This window comes from Homo sapiens, chromosome 17 (assembly GCF_000001405.40).
Source record: "Homo sapiens chromosome 17, GRCh38.p14 Primary Assembly".
In the NCBI taxonomy this organism is placed as follows: domain Eukaryota; kingdom Metazoa; phylum Chordata; class Mammalia; order Primates; family Hominidae; genus Homo; species Homo sapiens.
In genome coordinates, this window is record NC_000017.11 from 80133265 (window position 1) to 80149508 (window position 16244).

Sequence of the window (16244 nt, forward strand, 5' to 3'; positions counted from 1 at the left end):
TTTCATCACTGACTGCCCAAGGGCCAGGCTGCTCTCCAGAAAGTCTGGAAACTTTCCTTGTCAACCTTTAGGACTGGTGGTTTTTAAATCTTGGATAATCACATACCATTTCTGATTTGTCAGTACAGTTTGACATTTTTATGAACACTTGTGCTGTATTTTTCCTTTTAGGATGACCTTTCCTAGACAGTGTGTGGGGTAGCTTAAGCCCCACCCCTTCTCCTGCCATCTCCTCCCCAAGGCACCAATGCTGCCTCCTCCACTGTAACACCACGTGCTTATTCATCTAGAATCATTCTTACTGGTAATGGAGGCCTTCCGTCCTCCGGAGTGACTGTGTGGAAACCTGAGCCACTCCTCACCTCTAACACAAGCCTGGCAGCAGCTCCTGATGAGACCAGGTGAGCCTCAGTGAGCTCAGGCGCCTGCAGATACGGACATTGAGGCTGGCACTGGCCAGAGCTGTGGTGGGCATCACTCCCCACTGCTGCTGAGCAAATGCCCTGAACACACCTGTATCTGGTTCCTCCTTGCCAGGAACTCATTAAGCTGCCTGGGCCTGTAGTCTCGTGCTCCTCCCGCTCGGCCAGCAGTGCCACCTGGGAGTCTTGTTACCTGCAGGTTCTCACTCAGCAAGCCAGGACAGGGCCCGAGCACTTGCATTTCTAACCAACTCCTGATGATGCAGCTGGTCTACCAGCCACCAGCTGGCTAGCAAGGGTCCAGTCACAGTTTCAGTGAAAGGAAGTTCCATTCATAAACTATAGAATTTCAGATGCCTTCAAGTAGAATCACCTGATGAAATTTAAAAATTATTTCCAAGCTCACCCTAACCCGGAAATAAAGATTATCATCCCAACTAATTTCAGGAAGGGAGGGGCCAGTTTTAACATTTCCATTTCAAATATTAGAGCCCGGTCTGTGGCTCATGTGTGTAATCCCAGCACTTTGAGAGGCTGAGGCGGGAGGACTGCTTGAAGTCAGGAGTTTAAGACCAGCCTGGTCAACAGAGGGAGACCCTGTCTTTAAAAACATTTAAAAAATTAAAAATTGGGCAGCTGTGGTGCTGTGTGCCTATAAAGCTACAGGTAATTACTTTAAATATTTCAACAGATAACTTAAATACTTTAATAATTTAAATATTTAAACAGATAATTATCTGTTTTAGTTTGTCAACATTGTGGTAAGTCATGATCCTGCCACTATACTCCTGCCTGGGCGACAGGGAGATCCTGGGCTCTCAAAAAAACAACAAAAAAAAAAAATTAGAAAAATGAGGCCAGGCATGGTGGCTCACACCTGTTATCCCAGCACTTTGTAAGGCCAAGATGGGAGAATCACTTAAACCCATGAGTGACAGACCAGCCTAGGCCACAAAGTGAGACCCTGTCTCTACAAAAAATTTAAATATTAGCCAGATGTGCTGGCATGCACCTGTAGTCCCAGCTACTCAGGAGGGTGAGGTGAGAGGATCGCTTGAGCCCAGGAGGTTGTGGCTGCAATGAGTTGTGATGGTGCCACTGCTCTTCAGCCTGGGCAGCAGAGCAAAACTCATCAACGATGAAACTCTTTCCAAAAAAAAAGATTAGAAAAGTGAGTGAAATGGGCCGGGTGCAGTGGCTCACGCCTGTAATCCCAGCACTTTGGGAGGCCGAGGTGGGTGGATCACGAGGTCAGGAGATCGAGACCATCTTGGCTAACACGGTGAAACCCCGTCTCTACTGAAAATACAAAAAAATTAGCCTGGCATGGTGGCGGCCGCCTGTACTCCCAGCTACGTGGGAGGCTGAGGTAGGAGAATGGCATGAACCCAGGAAGTGGAGCTTGCGGTGAGAGGAGATCACGCCACTGCGCTCCTGCCTGGGCAACAGAGGGAGACTGTCTCAAAAAAAAAAAAGAAAAAGAAAAGAAAAAAAGAAAAGTGAGTGAAATGACCCAAGACTACACAGTAAGTTACTAGAGAAGGTGGTGGCACCTTAGAAGTATAGAGTTTATGGGAAAAGTTTTAAATTTTTAATGAAAAAGACTTAGAACAATGTATTATTTACATGTAAATAAGAAAAGAGAGCAGAATCCCCATATCCTCTTCAAAGGAAGGGAGACGGCAGGCCATTTATGAGAAGAAAGTCCATATAAACCCCATTAAGTAGAATCTGGATCTAAATACTTCCAAACAGGAGTACACAGCAGGTGAACAGTCTCCCTCATCCCACTGATCTGCTGCTTCAGATAAGATCAGCAACTGAAAGTGAAGAAAGAAACAGATTAAGGAACAACACAAACAAAATGAAAATTTGTTAACGTAAATTTAACTAAAACCTCACAACAGACTTCTCAAAACAAAAAACAGGCCAGACATAGTGGCTCACGCCTGTAATCCCAGCACTTTGGGAGGCTGAGGTGGGCAGATCATTTGAGGCCAGGAGTTCGAGACCAGCCTGGCCAACATGGTGAAACCCCGTCTCTACTAAAAATACAAAAATTAGCTGGCTATGGTGCACGTGTCTGTAATTCCAGCTACTCAGGAGGCTGAGGCAGGAGAATTGCTTGAACCCAGGAGGCAGAGGTTGCAGTGAGCCGAAATCGCGCCACTGCACTCCAGCCTGGGTGACAGAGCGAAACTTCGTCTCAAAAACAAAACAAAAAAACCCACAACAACAAAAAAACAAACTCAGGTGCCCCAAACTAAGAATAGGGAAGTTCCCTCTACAATTACAGTAGAGCTGGACGATTTCCTACCGTTCATCGGCATCTCATCAATCTGAGTGGAATAGTACTGCTCGATATCTCTGAGGATGCGGATGTCGTCATTCTTTACAAAGTTAATGGCCACACCCTTCCGGCCGTATCGACCTGATCTCCCAATTCTTCAGGAATAAAATAATATTACAGTTAGTATATATAACAATCAAGATTTAGTAAATGTGTCACAGAAGTGAAGCCAATGAGAGCTTGCACCTTACCTGTGTATGTACAATTCTCTGTTATTAGGGAGATCATAGTTAATGATGAGGGACACCTGAGGGACATCCAACCCCCTGGCCCAGACATCTGTAGAAATAAGCACTCGGCTGCAAAAAGAAAGAGTGTTTGAGGCGATTAAATTACTCATACAAGTGTAAGACTGGACTTGCTTCCATTGCTAATTTTAAGGAATCCTGGCTGCAGGTCCAAAATATACGAGATTCTCCTCTCTCAACAGTCTGTCTGCAAACGTGAAGCCTCAGGGACAGCACCAGAAACCCCTGTGCAGAGGGGCTGTTGGTGGATTTAGTTACTTCGGTCATGTGCTCCATCAGATTAAAAAAATAGACATCTTTTACTAGACTATCTTTAACTTGTTTAATCGGTCCTAAACCAATAATTGGGAAAAATACTTCACTTTTGCCTAGCAAAAAATTAAAAACGGTAACTTCAGCCGGGCATGGCGGCGGCTTATGCCTGTAATCCCAGCACTGCCAGAGGCTGAGGCAGATGGATCACCTGAGGTCAGGAGTTCGAGACCAGCCTGGCCAACATGGTGAAACCCCATCTCTACTAAAAATGAAAAAAAAAAAAAAAAATTAGCCATTCCAGCTACTCGGGAGGCTGAGACACAGGAGTCACTTGAAATCAGGAGGCAGAGGTTGCAGTGAGCCAAGATTGTGCCACTGCACTCCGGCCTGGGTAACGAAGTGAGACTGTCTCAAAAACAAACAAACAAAAAAAGACACACACAGCACATATGTTAAGCTGACCACAAGGTGGGCAAAGAAGGAAGTCTGAATCAAGTTCAAATGAATGAAACCACCCAATCCACGCTTTCTGACCACTGTGGAATTAAACTAATCGAAACGATGAACAGAAAACCCCCCTACTTACTGGAAAAGAAGACACACGCTTGTAACCAAGGTGACCAACCTGGCTAGTTAAGGCTAGTTATCACCTCAACCTAAGTATTACAGGAGCACAGCGGACCCCTCCTTAACTGGAAGGTTTTCTGCTCACCCAGGGCCTCAGCTTTCAGAGCAGAAGCTTGGCATCCCCCCGGGTGTGGGGCCTGCACTTAGGCGGTACATATGAAGTGCTTAGACACAGTCTAGCAAACCCTGACCTGCAGAGCCACAGCATAGCAGACCCACCTGGCGCCCGACCGGAACTCCTTCATGATGGACTCCCGCTCTTTCTGGGGCATGTCTCCATGCATTGAGGATACAGTGAAGTTGGCTTCCCTCATTTTCTCCGTCAGCCAGTCCACCTACAAATCCAATCAACAGATGCTACTGCAAGCTAGTATACCAAAGCAGAGATGTGCATTCGGGACTTTACCGCATCATTTGCAGAACCAGTATCAATATTCGTAAGGTAACTGCTCTTAAAACTCAGAATCATCCTAACTGGATGTAAAAACTTTTTCCCAGAAAATGTTGGGGTGCACTCACAAAACCCTCTTACTTCATTTTCTCCATATAATGACTCTATGGGGGGAGGGGGCCAGGTGTGCTCATTCTCATTTGAAATTTGAATTCCAATCTTGTTAGAATGTAGCCCAACTCCTTTCCTTTCTCAGGAAAGTGGCCGACAGTTCTCAGGTCTGCCTCCACATTACCATCACCTGGGGATCTAAAACTACTCAGGCCTGGGTTCCACCTTCAGCCAACGAAATCTGAATCTTTAGGGGTGGCTGATATCGCTGTTCTGTAAATGAAGTTTTAATGGTCACAGCCACGTCTGACCGTTTGCATATTGTCTACAGCTGCTTTTACAAGAGAACACATACCCTGAAAGCTTAAAATATGGACAAACTGGCCCTTTACTGAAAAATCTTGATTTATGTCATTCAGAGACTCAATCTGCAGTTTCCCTTCAGCACATGGATGCTGTGCAGTGCCTCTTACCTTTCTTTTGGTGTTGCAGAAGATGACCGCCTGAGTGATGGTCAGTGTGTCGTAGAGGTCACACAGAGTGTCAAATTTCCACTCTTCCCTCTCCACTGCCACGAAAAATTGCTTGATGCCTTCCAGAGTCAATTCATCACTGAAGGACAAAGACAAATCCTGTTACATACTCATCCTTCCTTCTAGGACTTGAGGGTGGGCCAAGCCAGGATCCAGGGAGACCCTGGTGGAAAAGGTCACACCGTGATATCTGGTGCAGACCCAGCAGCCCCAGCCCTGTCCTCCATCCTATCACCACTTCCGTCACACAGGCCTCCATTCTGTATCCTACTTAACATTTCACAATGTGCACCACATGGAATACGATTCTAAACGAAACACTGATAAATAAATAGTCACCTAATTTTTAAATTTAGAATTATTGGTTCAAACCACAATGAGGATTATAAAAGATGGGTTGTTTTGTTTTGTTTGAGACAGGGTCTTGCTCTGTTGCCCTGGCTGAAGTACAGTGGCACAATCAAAGCTCACTGCAGCCTCAGCCTCCTGACCTCAAGCGATCCTCCCACCACAGCCTCCTGAGTAGCTGGGACTATAGGCATGTGCCGCCCTACCTGGCTAATTTTTTATTATTGGTAGAGATACGGTCTCTATATGTTGCCCAGCCTATTTGGTTTTTTAAAACAGGAATTTTAAAAGAATTTGCATGCTTTCAATTCCTTTACACTCAGGCAAGAGGATAGCCTGAGGTCCGGGTTTTGACACGAGCTTCAGCAACACAGCCAGACTCTGGCTATAAAAAGTTTTTGAAATTACGACATAAAATCCTTTATAAATGCGGCCCAGTGTTTTAGTAAACTTGACAAGAGGGGCTCCTACCGTTTCACCAAGATGCGGATTGGGTCGGTCATGAACTTGTTGGTCATCTCCAGAATCTCGTGTGGCAGCGTGGCACTGATGAGAACCACCTGTGTGGCTGGAGGCAGGTACCTGTATACATCGTAAATCTGCTCTTTGAAACCTGGGACAGGGAGCAAGACAGGTGAGGGATGTTTAGGGCGGCACACCCAGAAATGGAAGGTGCACGCCCAGTGTTCCCACTGGGTTAGAGGCAGAGTGGTGATAAGGTACGTTTGACAGGAAATCTCATTTTTACAGCACCAGGCCACATCCACGCGTTCTCTCCGTCCCTACTCCCCGCCCACCGGAGTGTTATCTGGTTGAGGGAATCTGGTTTCCCTTTGGTGCTTCTTCAATCTGAAGTGATCTAGGGATCAAGAAACCCACCCCGAGAGTCCTAGATACCAAATAAAAAGCAATAGAGGCTGGCCTGAGTCACCCACAATGAACAAATAAATAAAATCAAGGTAGGAATTTTTTGTTCATAATTGCCAAGGCACAATTGTTTTTCCACGATGAAAACACTATTCACATTCAGAACAGTCACTGGCTGTTTCAATTTTACACTGTGAAAATTTAAGAACTAAGAATTATGTCAGTAGAAGAGTAATTCTTTTGTTGCTCATACCTTTATTCAACATTTCATCAGCTTCATCCAAAACCAACATTTTGATAGCACGTGTCCTTAGGCTTCTGCGACGAATCATATCTATAACATGAGATTTTGAAATACTTACGACAAATCACATCTATGAGATTTTGAAATAATCACACCTGAGGCTCCCAAGAAAGAGCTCATCATTCCACTGGTCTCAGGGTTCCAGAGACCTTCCCTCTACCTCCTGCAAGTGACCCAGGTGCAAAAGTCTACCGTGCGGCCTACCAAATCGAAAGCTGTCCTGTACCATTTAAGCACTTCTTACAAATACTACCGGCAGCACCATTTTTAGCGACAAAAGTGCTTACCAAAAACACGCCCTGGAGTGCCCGCGACAACATGCTGTCCGTAATCCAGCTTCCTGATGTCCTCGCCAACATTGGTGCCTCCAATGCAGGCATGGCACTGGACATTCATGTAGTCACCGAGAGCAAGCAGCCCCTGAAACAAAGCACAGGTTCACGTCCAGGGTGGGAGAGAGAAACATCCACGTTTTCCAAAAAGAAAGACTGTTTCTCCTCCGAGATGATCACCGATTATTATTTATGCCATTATTATCTCGAAACCACAAAATTCTCCTGCTCTTTTCTCTGACAAAAACAAGTTAATTTTGCTTTTTTTTTTTTTTTTTTGAGACGGAGTCTCACTCTGTGGCCCATGCTGGGGGGCAGCAGCGCAATCTTAGCTCACTGCAAGCTCCGCCTCCAGGGTTCACGCCATTCTCCCGCCTCAGCTTCCTGAGTAGCTGGGACTACAGGCGCCCGCCACCACACCAGGCTAATTTTGTTTTTGTATTTTTAGTAGAGATGGGGTTTCACCGTGTTAGCACACCGTGCTGTGTGCACCCTATATGTGTATTCAGAGAGTCGTTATCTCCTGACCTCGTAATTGGCCTGCCTCAGCCTCTCAAAGTGCTGGGATTACAGGCGTGAGCCACCACACCCGGCCTGCTGGTTTCTTATTACAAAAGCTATATCATTAACAGAAAAGAATATATAAAATTCATAATCCCATCCACCGAAGAAACCAGCATTAACATCTTAATATACATCTTTTTAAACATACATCTTTATACTACGTTAAGTATAAAATGGGTACAATTTATTTTTTTTTTGAGACAGAGTTTCACTCTTCTTGCCCAGACTAGAGTACAACGGCACAATCTCAGCTCACTGCAACCTCTGCCTCCCGGGTTCAAGTGATTCTCCTGCTCAGCCACCCAAGTAGCTGGGATTACAGGCGCCTGCCACCACGCCCAGCTAATTTTTTGTATTTTTAGTAGAGACAGGGTTTCACTATGTTGACCAGGCTGGTCTCAAACTCCTGACCTCAGGTGATCCACCCACCTCGACCTAATTTATTTTTATTAAAATTGATTTTTCGCAAAAAATCTACATTTCTAAGGCTGTAAAAAACTACCGAGAGCACACAAGCCACACCAAAAATGACTTAATACAAACCAGCAATTTATATAATGATTAATGGCAAAATGTTAATCAGGAAGAAAATTTTGAGGTATCAGAAAACAGGATTGGATTAAATAAATAAGTCGGTGTTTCACAACTAAATCACAAAAGCAGTACTTGTTAATCGGACACCGCTATCTTTAGCCATCTCACCTTCTGGATCTGCACAGCCAACTCTCTTGTGGGAGCCAAGATCAAAGCTTGAGTTTCACGAACCTGGTGAAATAATTTATCAGAAAATAGAGAATCCGCAGTATTATCAAAGTGGATTGTAGTAATTCACACTCAGATCTATATGAGAAATACTATCTCATATTAATCATACTTCTCATCTCTTACAGGTTAGCAAATATTGTCATTTAAATTGCAAATCCAACAATAACTTAATGTGTCAGCATCCTCGTCTGCAGACAAGAGCTTCCTCTAGTTAAATAGAAAATCATGACAGAATATTAGTGCATATATTAGTGTACAACTAAGACTCTGTGTAAAAATTTGCTGAGTCAATACATACTAGAAAATTTTAAATTGTACTTTTTGAACACTGTAGTTACAGAAGAAAAAGCAAGTATTTCCTAGAATTACATAACAGTTTGTTTTAAGAATGGCAAATTACCTGAATATCCAAACACTGGAGGACTGAGATACTGAAGGTGGCTGTTTTTCCTGTGCCGGACTGAGACCTATTCAAGGAAACAAAAGCAGTGGGATTAGAGGGAGGACAGGCCACGCCACAGCTGCACTCCAAGGCCTGGGCTCCAGAGGCACTTAGGTACCTTCTTCCAGCAAGCCCCCGTACCTAATAACATCTTAACTGCGAGGAGGCAGGACTCGGGCCCAGTGTCACAGCTTGTTAAGTGTCCATGAAGAAAGAGAGTAGACATGGCTTCTGCACGGGGGCAATGGAGCCACAGACTCTCTAACTTCAAGAGGTGTTTCATAGGTGTCAGAAAAAGGAGGACTCCCCTTTATCTAAATACAACTCTTTTCCTTCTAGGATTTTGGACTAACTCTCTCTTCCAAAGAAATTTTTGTGTAAATGAGTCTTTTTTGAAATTAGGCAAACGAGGAATAAAGCTATTAAAAGAGGATTTGTGGTGCTAGGAGATATGGCTATATACAAGTTTTCATCCATAGTTCCTGGCTCACAGCTCCCATAGCCCTTATTACAGTCTTATTAAATTGATGGGTTAGGCCTCAGGAAACAATCTCTCTGACCTTCTGCTCTCCTTTCACCTGCTCCACAGCAGGGCTCTAATCTTCCCTGCCTTTCAGATTGTGAGTCATAAAGACCCTCATGTCACGGCGTGGTGGCTCAGGCCTGTATTCCCAACACTCTGGGACGCAGAGGCAGCATTAATTGAAGCCAGGAATTCGAGACCAGCCTGGGCAATACAGCAAGAGACCCCATTTCTAAACAAAACAAAAAACTAACCAGGAACGGTGGCACATTCTGGCAGTCCCAGCTACTTGGGAGGTTGAGGCGGGACGATTCCTTAATCCTCGAAGTTAGAGGTTGCAGTGAGCTATGACTGCACCACTGCATTCCCGCCTGGGTGACGAAGTGAGGCCCCATATCTTAACAAAAAAAATGTTTAGGCCGGGCACAGTGGCTCACGCCTGTAATCCCAAGGCTTTGGGAAGCCAAGGCAGACAGATTGCCAGGAGTTTGAGAGCAGCCTGGGCAACACAACAAAACCCTGTCTCTACAGAAAATACAAAAATTAATTGGGCATGGTGATGTGTGCCTGTAGTCCCAGCTACTTGGGAGGGTGAGGTGGGAGGATCGCTTGAGGCTGCTATGAGCTGTAATCACACGACTGCACTCCAGTCTGGGAGACAGAGTAAGACCCTGTCTCGAAAAATGTAAAAAATTTAAATTTCAAATTTTTTTTTAAAAAGCATTATGGTATTATCCCAGAAAAGCTCCTGCCCTATTCCCTTATGGGGGAAAGAATGCTGACCTCATGGAATTTTCCATAAAAACCCAAGAGGACTGGGTTCGAAGAGCTTCTAGATGGCTGAACACAGACAGTGGAACACAAGGAGGTTCCGGGAGGTGACCACCCGCCCCTTGGAGGCTGCACCCCTCCCCCCATATCTGTATCCTCTGCAGTACCCTTTATAATAAACCACTAAATGTGTTTCCCTGAGTTCTTTGAGCTGCTGTTCCAGCAAATTAATCCAACCTAAAGAGGGGATCCTGGGAACCCAACTTGAAGCTGCTTGGTCAGAAGTTCTAGAGATCCGAACTTATAACTGGTGTCTGAAAAGAGGGTAGTCATGGGGACTGAGCCGTCAACCTGCAGGATATGGCCTATCTCCAGGCAGGTGGTGTGAGTTGAACTGGAGGACACCCAGCTGGAAAAGCCCCACACCTCTGCTCACAGAAGTCTTCTTCTGTGCTGATGACTGTTGTGGTGGTGTGAGAGCAGAGGAAAAGCACAGTCTGTTTTTCCGAAATTGTGTTATATACAATTCCACATGCCAGCAAACCACTAAGCAAAGCTGGCTAAGAAAATGAAAGCCTTGGCCGGGCGCAGTAACTCATGCCTGAAATCCCAGCACTTTAGGAGGCCAAGGAGGGTGGATCACCTGAGGTCAGGAGTTTGAGACCAGCCTGACCAACATGGTGAAACCCCCGTCTCTACTAAAAATATGAAAATTAGTCGGGCATGGTGGTGCATGCCTGTAATCCCAGCTACTTGGGAGGGTGAGGCAGGAGAATAGCTTGAAACTGAGAGGCAAAGGTTGCAGTGAGCCGAGATGGCACCACTGCACTCCAGCCTGGGCAACAGAGCGAGACTCCATCTCAAAAAGAAAATGAAAGCTTTCCACAGTAGAGAACACAAATTTAAAAAAGTATTAAACCCTGTGGCTAAAGTCAGGGAAAGTGTTGGAACTGAGCGTGTACAAGCTGAGGGAAACAGTCATCCCAGAGCATCTAACTGCACTGCGCTGCCCAAATTTACATCCAGCCCTGCGCCGCACCCCAGGACAACTTACTGTGCGATGACATCTCTCCCTTTGATGATCTGCTTGATTGCTCGTTGCTGGATTGCTGATGGTTTTTCAAAACCTGCAAATAAAAACAAAAAATTAGCCCTCACCACAATGACAGCATAGAAACCCTGTACTGTGAGCTCCTCAGGGGCAGACATGGTTTGTTTTTTGAACCTGTCCTCCAGCCTAACCCAGTGTTCAACATAGCAAGCTCTCAAAACCCAGGGGCTCAATGAATTGGGCTGAGTGATTTCTACACTAACGTGGGATATTATTTGTAAAGACCAATCTCTATTTTTAAAAAACCACCAAATTGTAGAATATAGACAACAGTTTTGTTTAAAAAAAAAAAAAAATCTGGGTGTGCAGCATCTGGAAGTGTAAGTGCCAAAATGTTCCTGGCAGTTACTGCAGTAGAGGGGTGGAAAGAAACTTACTTTTTACTCTAATTACTCCCTTAGGTTTGACTGGATTACAAACAACCTATACTACTTTTTAAATTAAAAAAAAAAACAACAAAAAAACAGGAAAGTCACTCTAGCCATTGTTCTCTCCTACTAGCTAGCATTAAGTCTGTGTGTTGCTGACAGGTCTACAACTCTGTTTAACCTGCGTGGGTCACGCTGCAGGGTGTCCTATGTTGTTCTGTCTGGATGCAGCTCACTAACTACAACACCATCACACCATCTCTCTTGCAAAGCAACTACTACACCAAAGGGTGAGGCTATTTTGAAGAAGAACCACGTGTTTTTCAAGTAAATAAAATTTTATGTACAAAAACTCTATTTCAATTATTTTTTGGTAGTCTCTTAAATGTAGCTCTGCTCAGTTCTGGGGCATAGCGAAAAATAAGAAACAAAAGAAAATGTAGCACAATTTCCCATCTTAACACAAATGCAAATATAGCAGATGATTTAAACTCTTCATGAAGAGCAAGCACATAGATGGGAAACTAACAACAGTGTCTTAGGGCAGGGACTGCCTGAGTGCCAGGAAACCAGGTGGGGCTGTCAGCCTCACTGTGAGGCTGCCTGAGATGCTTTTTCACCACGCATCCTCAGCAACTTCGCTTCACTTTGTCCAAACTGTTGTGGCATCAAGAACTACAGGATACGGCCAGGTGGGGTGGCTCACACCTGTAATGCCATCACTTTGGGAGGCTGAGGCTGGTGGATCACTGAGGTCAGGAGTTCAAGACCAGCCTGGGCAACATGGCAAAATCCCCTCCCTACTAAAAATACAAAAATTAGTAGGACGTGGTGGCCCACACCTATAATCCCAGCTACTCGGGAGGCTGAGGCAAAGGAATCGCTTGAGCCCCAGAAGTGGAAGTTGCAATAAGCTGAGATCATGCCACTACACTCCAGCCTTGGTGACAAGAGCAGGACTGTCAGAAGGAAAAGGAAGAAAGAAAAGGAAGAGAACTACAGGATAAAAAATGTCCCTGTCCCAAGCATTAAACACAGGCCATTTATCCCAGATGCTGGTCATTCCCATCTATGTGCCCAACCCAACCTCTTCTCCAGGCTCTCCCTCAACTTCCTCACATCTTTCAAACATACCAAGAGACAGCTCCTGATTCTGACTCTCTGGAGTGCTGCCTACCTAGCCAAATGTTTGCAGCATCAACCACCGGTTACTCAAAACACTCCAACTCTCCTCCTTCTGTCACTCACGTTCAATCCATCAGCCAATGCTGTCAGCTCCCTGGTACTCCATCTCCAAGGCAGCACAATCCTCTCTTCCCTGAACTGCAGCAAAAGCTCCCAACTCTCTTGTTTCCTCTCCTGCCTTGCCTCGCCTCACCTCAAATCTACAGACACCCAGAAGAATCTTTAAAACTGTAAATGTGATCGTGTCACATAGCTACTTAAAACCTTCCACTGGCTTCCCACTAGATTTCTAAATGAAATTCAAATTATTCGTCACCCTACACGTCTTTGCTAGATCTGCCCCGACTAGCTCTCCAAAATCCCACCACAGGGGACTTCTTTCAGTTCCTGGAATGCAGCTGGCTAAGGGCTGCAAGGCCCTGGCACCAGCTGTTCCTTCTGCCCCAACTGCTCTTCCCTCTTCTCATAACAGTCTCCTTCATCCAGAACTCTGCTCAAATGGCACCCCCTCCTGCGAACCCCCTTACCTCTCTGCTTTACTAATTCTCTCCTCCTTCCCAGTCCCACTCTATTCAATTACCCCGCTTCAGGTTCTTCAGGTTGCCTGGGCAACCTGACAGTATGCTTTCCCCCCAAACGAAATTCAAAACCCGTAAAGGCGCAAACCCTTCCGGTTTACCGCCAAAACCCCAGTACCTAGAAAAGCTAATAGGTAGAAATCAGTTATCTGCTGAATGAAGGACGCTGAGGTGCCTCGAAGCGGCTGCAGCCCCCGACAGACCCAGCGCCGAGCTCTGCACGGGGGACACACACCGAAAGCGCCGACACAGCCAGGCGTGAGGGCGAGGACGGGGGTGGGGGTGGGGGTCGGACGTCACTGGCCCCCGAGCCTCGACCCTGACCACGACCTCCGGAGCGCAGGGCCGGCCCGGGAGTCACCAGTCTGGCCCTCAGCCCCCGGCTCGCCCCCGACTCGCCCCCGGCTGGCCCCCGCGGCCCGCGCCCGCTCACCGTAAGCGTAGATGCCCCGCAGCAGGTCCTCCCGCAGGCCCATGGTGTCGAACGTGGGGGTCACATCCACCTCCTCGCTGGTCTCGAATTCCACTTTAGTCATGTCTTCCTCTTTGAGCAGCCGCTTTCGCGCCGAGCCCGAGGTCGCCATCGTGGCCGTGGTCGCCATGATTCAGAGTCCGCGGAAGAGCACAGCGCGCGCCGCTGCCGACCTCGCTGCCGCTGCCGACCTCGCTGTGCCGCTGCCGACCTCGCTGCCGCTGCCGACCTCGCTGTGCCGCTGCCGACCTCGCTGTGCCGCTGCCGACCTCGCTGTGCCGCTGCCGACCTCGCTGTGCCGCTGCCGAGAACAGACGCCTTAAGTATGCGAAAGCGAGAGACGTGCGTGCGTACGTGCGTACGTGCGTACGCGCGACGCGGCCACGCCTCTGGGGGACGGGGCACTCTTCGTCACGTGAAAGGGAACTGGGCGTTTGCCGCAGGGAAAAGTAAGGTGTTTCTGCTCTCGCGCCATATGCAGTTCCCGCGGGATCTCGTTGAGGGCGGGGCACCCAGTTCCTTACGAAAGGGATGGAGGGGGTGGTACTTCTAAAGTTGGCGGTGTTTCGTACCGGCCGCGGGATTTCGCGGACTGGGGCGCTGAGGTTCTTTGAGCGGCGTGTGGACCTGAATTCCCTGGAAACAGGCTGGGGCCGCGAGGGGCCTCCGCTCCGGGCGGGGTCCCCAGATAGCCCCGCCTCGAATAAAAATGACGAGCACGGGTCCTCTCTCGGGCCCGCAGTGGGTGGACTGCGTCGCAGACCCGTAGTGGAGGCGCCCAGCTCGCCGGGGAGATTCGAGTGGAAACCCTCACGGCCGCCGGTGGTGGGCCCCGGCGCGGCGCTGGGCTCCGGCGGGTCTGCGCTGGGGAGGGCCAGGGCCCCTGAAGCCGGCGTCCCTCTTAGGGGACGCGCCTGGGTGTGTCTTCACCGTTTGCCTGGTGAGTTGGAGACAGGGTCTCGCTCCGTCGCCCAGGCTGGAGTGCAGTGGTAGGATCAGGGTTCATTGTAGCCTCCGCCTCAGCCTCTGGAGTAGCTGGGACCTCAGGCGCGCGCCACCACGCCCGGCTAATTTTTTAAATTTTTTTGTAGAGACGGGGTTGGGGGAGGCGGGGGTTAGGGTTGTCCTGGCTGGTCTTGAACTGCGGGGCCTCAGGTGATCCGCCTGCCTTGGCCTCCCAAAGTGCTGGGATTACAGGCATGAGCCACTGTGCCCGGCAAGCAGCTGTTATAAATAAAATACATGCTGAGCCTGCAATTTGCTCTTAATGAAGGCCACTTGTCAGTAGACGGTGCTGCTAATGCGTGTCCTGCAGCAAAGATAACCCAGACGGGATCATTTTTTAATTGCCCAGCAGAACTTTAACCAGTTGTGCATCTTAACCTGCTTTTTGTTTGTTCGTTTGTTTGTTTTGAGACAGTCTGGCCCTGTCGCCCAGGCTGGAGTGCCATGGCGCGATCTCGGTTCACTGCAGCCTCCACCTCCCGAGCACAGGCGATCCTCCCGCCTCAGCCTCCAGAGCACCTGGGACCACAGGTGTCCACGCGCAGCCACTAACCGCTTTCTTATCTGACACTTTAAGTGCTTCTTCGTACCCAGCTCCTCTAACGCCTTTTGAAGCAGCTCCATCATCTTTGAAGGGCAGTTCATGCTGTTGAGAATCATGTTTTTAACTTTGGGAAAATTGTATTTCCACGAGCGCCAGCTCTGTCCTTTTTTTTTTTTTTTTTTTTTTTTTTTTTTGACGGAGTCTTGCTCGGTTCGCCCAGGCTGGAGTGCAGTGTCGCGATCTCAGCTCACTGCAAGTTCTGTCGCCCAGGTTCACGCCATTCTCCTGCCTCAGCCTCCCAAATAGCTGGGACTACAGACACGCGCCACCACGCCCAGCTAATTTTCTGTATTTTTAGTATAGACCGGGTTTCACCATGTTGGCCAGGATGGTCTTGATCTCTTGACCTCATGATCCGCCCACCTCGGCTTCCCAAAGTGCTAGGATTACAGGCGTGAGCCACCGCGCCCCGCTATTTTGTGTGTGTGTGTGTGTGTGTGTGTGTGTGTGTGTGACAGAGTCTCGCTCTGTTCCCCAGGCTGGAGTGCAGTGGCGCAATCTTGGCTCACTGCAACCTCTGCCTCCCGGTTCAAGCGACTCCCCTTCCTCACCCTCCTGAGTAGCTAGGATTACAGGCATGCACCACCACGCCCGGCTAATTTTTGTATTTTTAGTAGAGATGGGGTTTCCCCGTGTTGGTCAGGCTGGTCTTGAACTCCTGACCTCATGATCTGCCCGCTTCAGCCTCCTAAAATGCTGGGATTACAGGCATGAGCCCGGTCCTGTCCTTTCTTATGGTCACAAATCTGGCTTGCATCGCTGGGCACATCTTTAATCCACAGCTTCTTTCTAGGAGTGCTTGAAAAGCTCTCCTTTTATGAAGGTTAATTTTAGTTAAAACCAGAGCATCCTGGCCAGGCCTGGTGGCTCACGCCTGTAATCCCAGCACTTTGGGAGGCCGAGGCAGACGGATCATGAGTGTAGGAGTTCGAGAACAGCCTGGCCAAAATGGTGAAACCCCATCTCTACTAAAAAAAAAATACAAAAATTAGCTGGCCGTGGTGACGGGTGTCTGTAGTCCCAGCTACTCTGGAGGCTGAGGCAGGAGAATCTCCTGAACCCCGGAGG

General features: G+C 47.8%; 1 protein-coding gene across 2 annotated transcripts, besides 8 other annotated features; it reads right to left on the reverse strand.

Annotated features, from left to right (window-relative positions):
- Positions 294–459: a silencer, noted in NCBI's record as "fragment chr17:78107357-78107522 (GRCh37/hg19 assembly coordinates)". NCBI's record gives its function as "represses an EF-1alpha promoter that drives an FKBP-Casp9 reporter gene in an ReSE screen in HepG2 liver carcinoma cells {active_cell/tissue: HepG2}" and the evidence as "EXISTENCE:reporter gene assay evidence [ECO:0000049][PMID:32094911]".
- Positions 1105–13864, reverse strand: EIF4A3 (eukaryotic translation initiation factor 4A3). 2 transcript variants are annotated; one of them, NM_014740.4, is made up of 12 exons: positions 13529–13864; positions 10908–10980; positions 8518–8584; positions 8055–8117; positions 6744–6876; positions 6406–6486; positions 5757–5898; positions 4878–5016; positions 4122–4237; positions 2964–3071; positions 2740–2867; positions 1105–2242 (listed from the first exon to the last, which is right to left on the reverse strand). In NM_014740.4, exons 1-12 carry the CDS (start codon positions 13695–13697, stop codon positions 2226–2228), a joined length of 1236 nt encoding a protein of 411 aa, NP_055555.1. In that variant the 5' UTR covers positions 13698–13864; the 3' UTR covers positions 1105–2225. The 2 variants fall into 2 exon arrangements, with proteins under 2 accessions (NP_055555.1, NP_001398028.1); NM_001411099.1 differs by lacking the exon at positions 8055–8117.
- Positions 13091–13805: an enhancer, noted in NCBI's record as "H3K27ac hESC enhancer chr17:78120154-78120868 (GRCh37/hg19 assembly coordinates)". NCBI's record gives its function as "activates a minimal SCP1, AML or CMV promoter by ChIP-STARR-seq in primed H9 embryonic stem cells {active_cell/tissue: H9 hESC(primed)}" and the evidence as "EXISTENCE:reporter gene assay evidence [ECO:0000049][PMID:30033119]".
- Positions 13443–13492: a silencer, noted in NCBI's record as "silent region_9100". NCBI's record gives its function as "represses an Ori minimal core promoter by ATAC-STARR-seq in GM12878 lymphoblastoid cells {active_cell/tissue: GM12878}" and the evidence as "EXISTENCE:reporter gene assay evidence [ECO:0000049][PMID:35858748]".
- Positions 13806–14518: an enhancer, noted in NCBI's record as "H3K27ac hESC enhancer chr17:78120869-78121581 (GRCh37/hg19 assembly coordinates)". NCBI's record gives its function as "activates a minimal SCP1, AML or CMV promoter by ChIP-STARR-seq in naive H9 embryonic stem cells {active_cell/tissue: H9 hESC(naive)}" and the evidence as "EXISTENCE:reporter gene assay evidence [ECO:0000049][PMID:30033119]".
- Positions 13806–14522: a biological region, named in NCBI's record as "H3K27ac hESC enhancer GRCh37_chr17:78120869-78121581".
- Positions 14333–14522: a silencer, noted in NCBI's record as "silent region_9101". NCBI's record gives its function as "represses an Ori minimal core promoter by ATAC-STARR-seq in GM12878 lymphoblastoid cells {active_cell/tissue: GM12878}" and the evidence as "EXISTENCE:reporter gene assay evidence [ECO:0000049][PMID:35858748]".
- Positions 14519–15232: an enhancer, noted in NCBI's record as "H3K27ac-H3K4me1 hESC enhancer chr17:78121582-78122295 (GRCh37/hg19 assembly coordinates)". NCBI's record gives its function as "activates a minimal SCP1, AML or CMV promoter by ChIP-STARR-seq in naive and primed H9 embryonic stem cells {active_cell/tissue: H9 hESC(naive and primed)}" and the evidence as "EXISTENCE:reporter gene assay evidence [ECO:0000049][PMID:30033119]".
- Positions 15233–15945: an enhancer, noted in NCBI's record as "H3K4me1 hESC enhancer chr17:78122296-78123008 (GRCh37/hg19 assembly coordinates)". NCBI's record gives its function as "activates a minimal SCP1, AML or CMV promoter by ChIP-STARR-seq in naive H9 embryonic stem cells {active_cell/tissue: H9 hESC(naive)}" and the evidence as "EXISTENCE:reporter gene assay evidence [ECO:0000049][PMID:30033119]".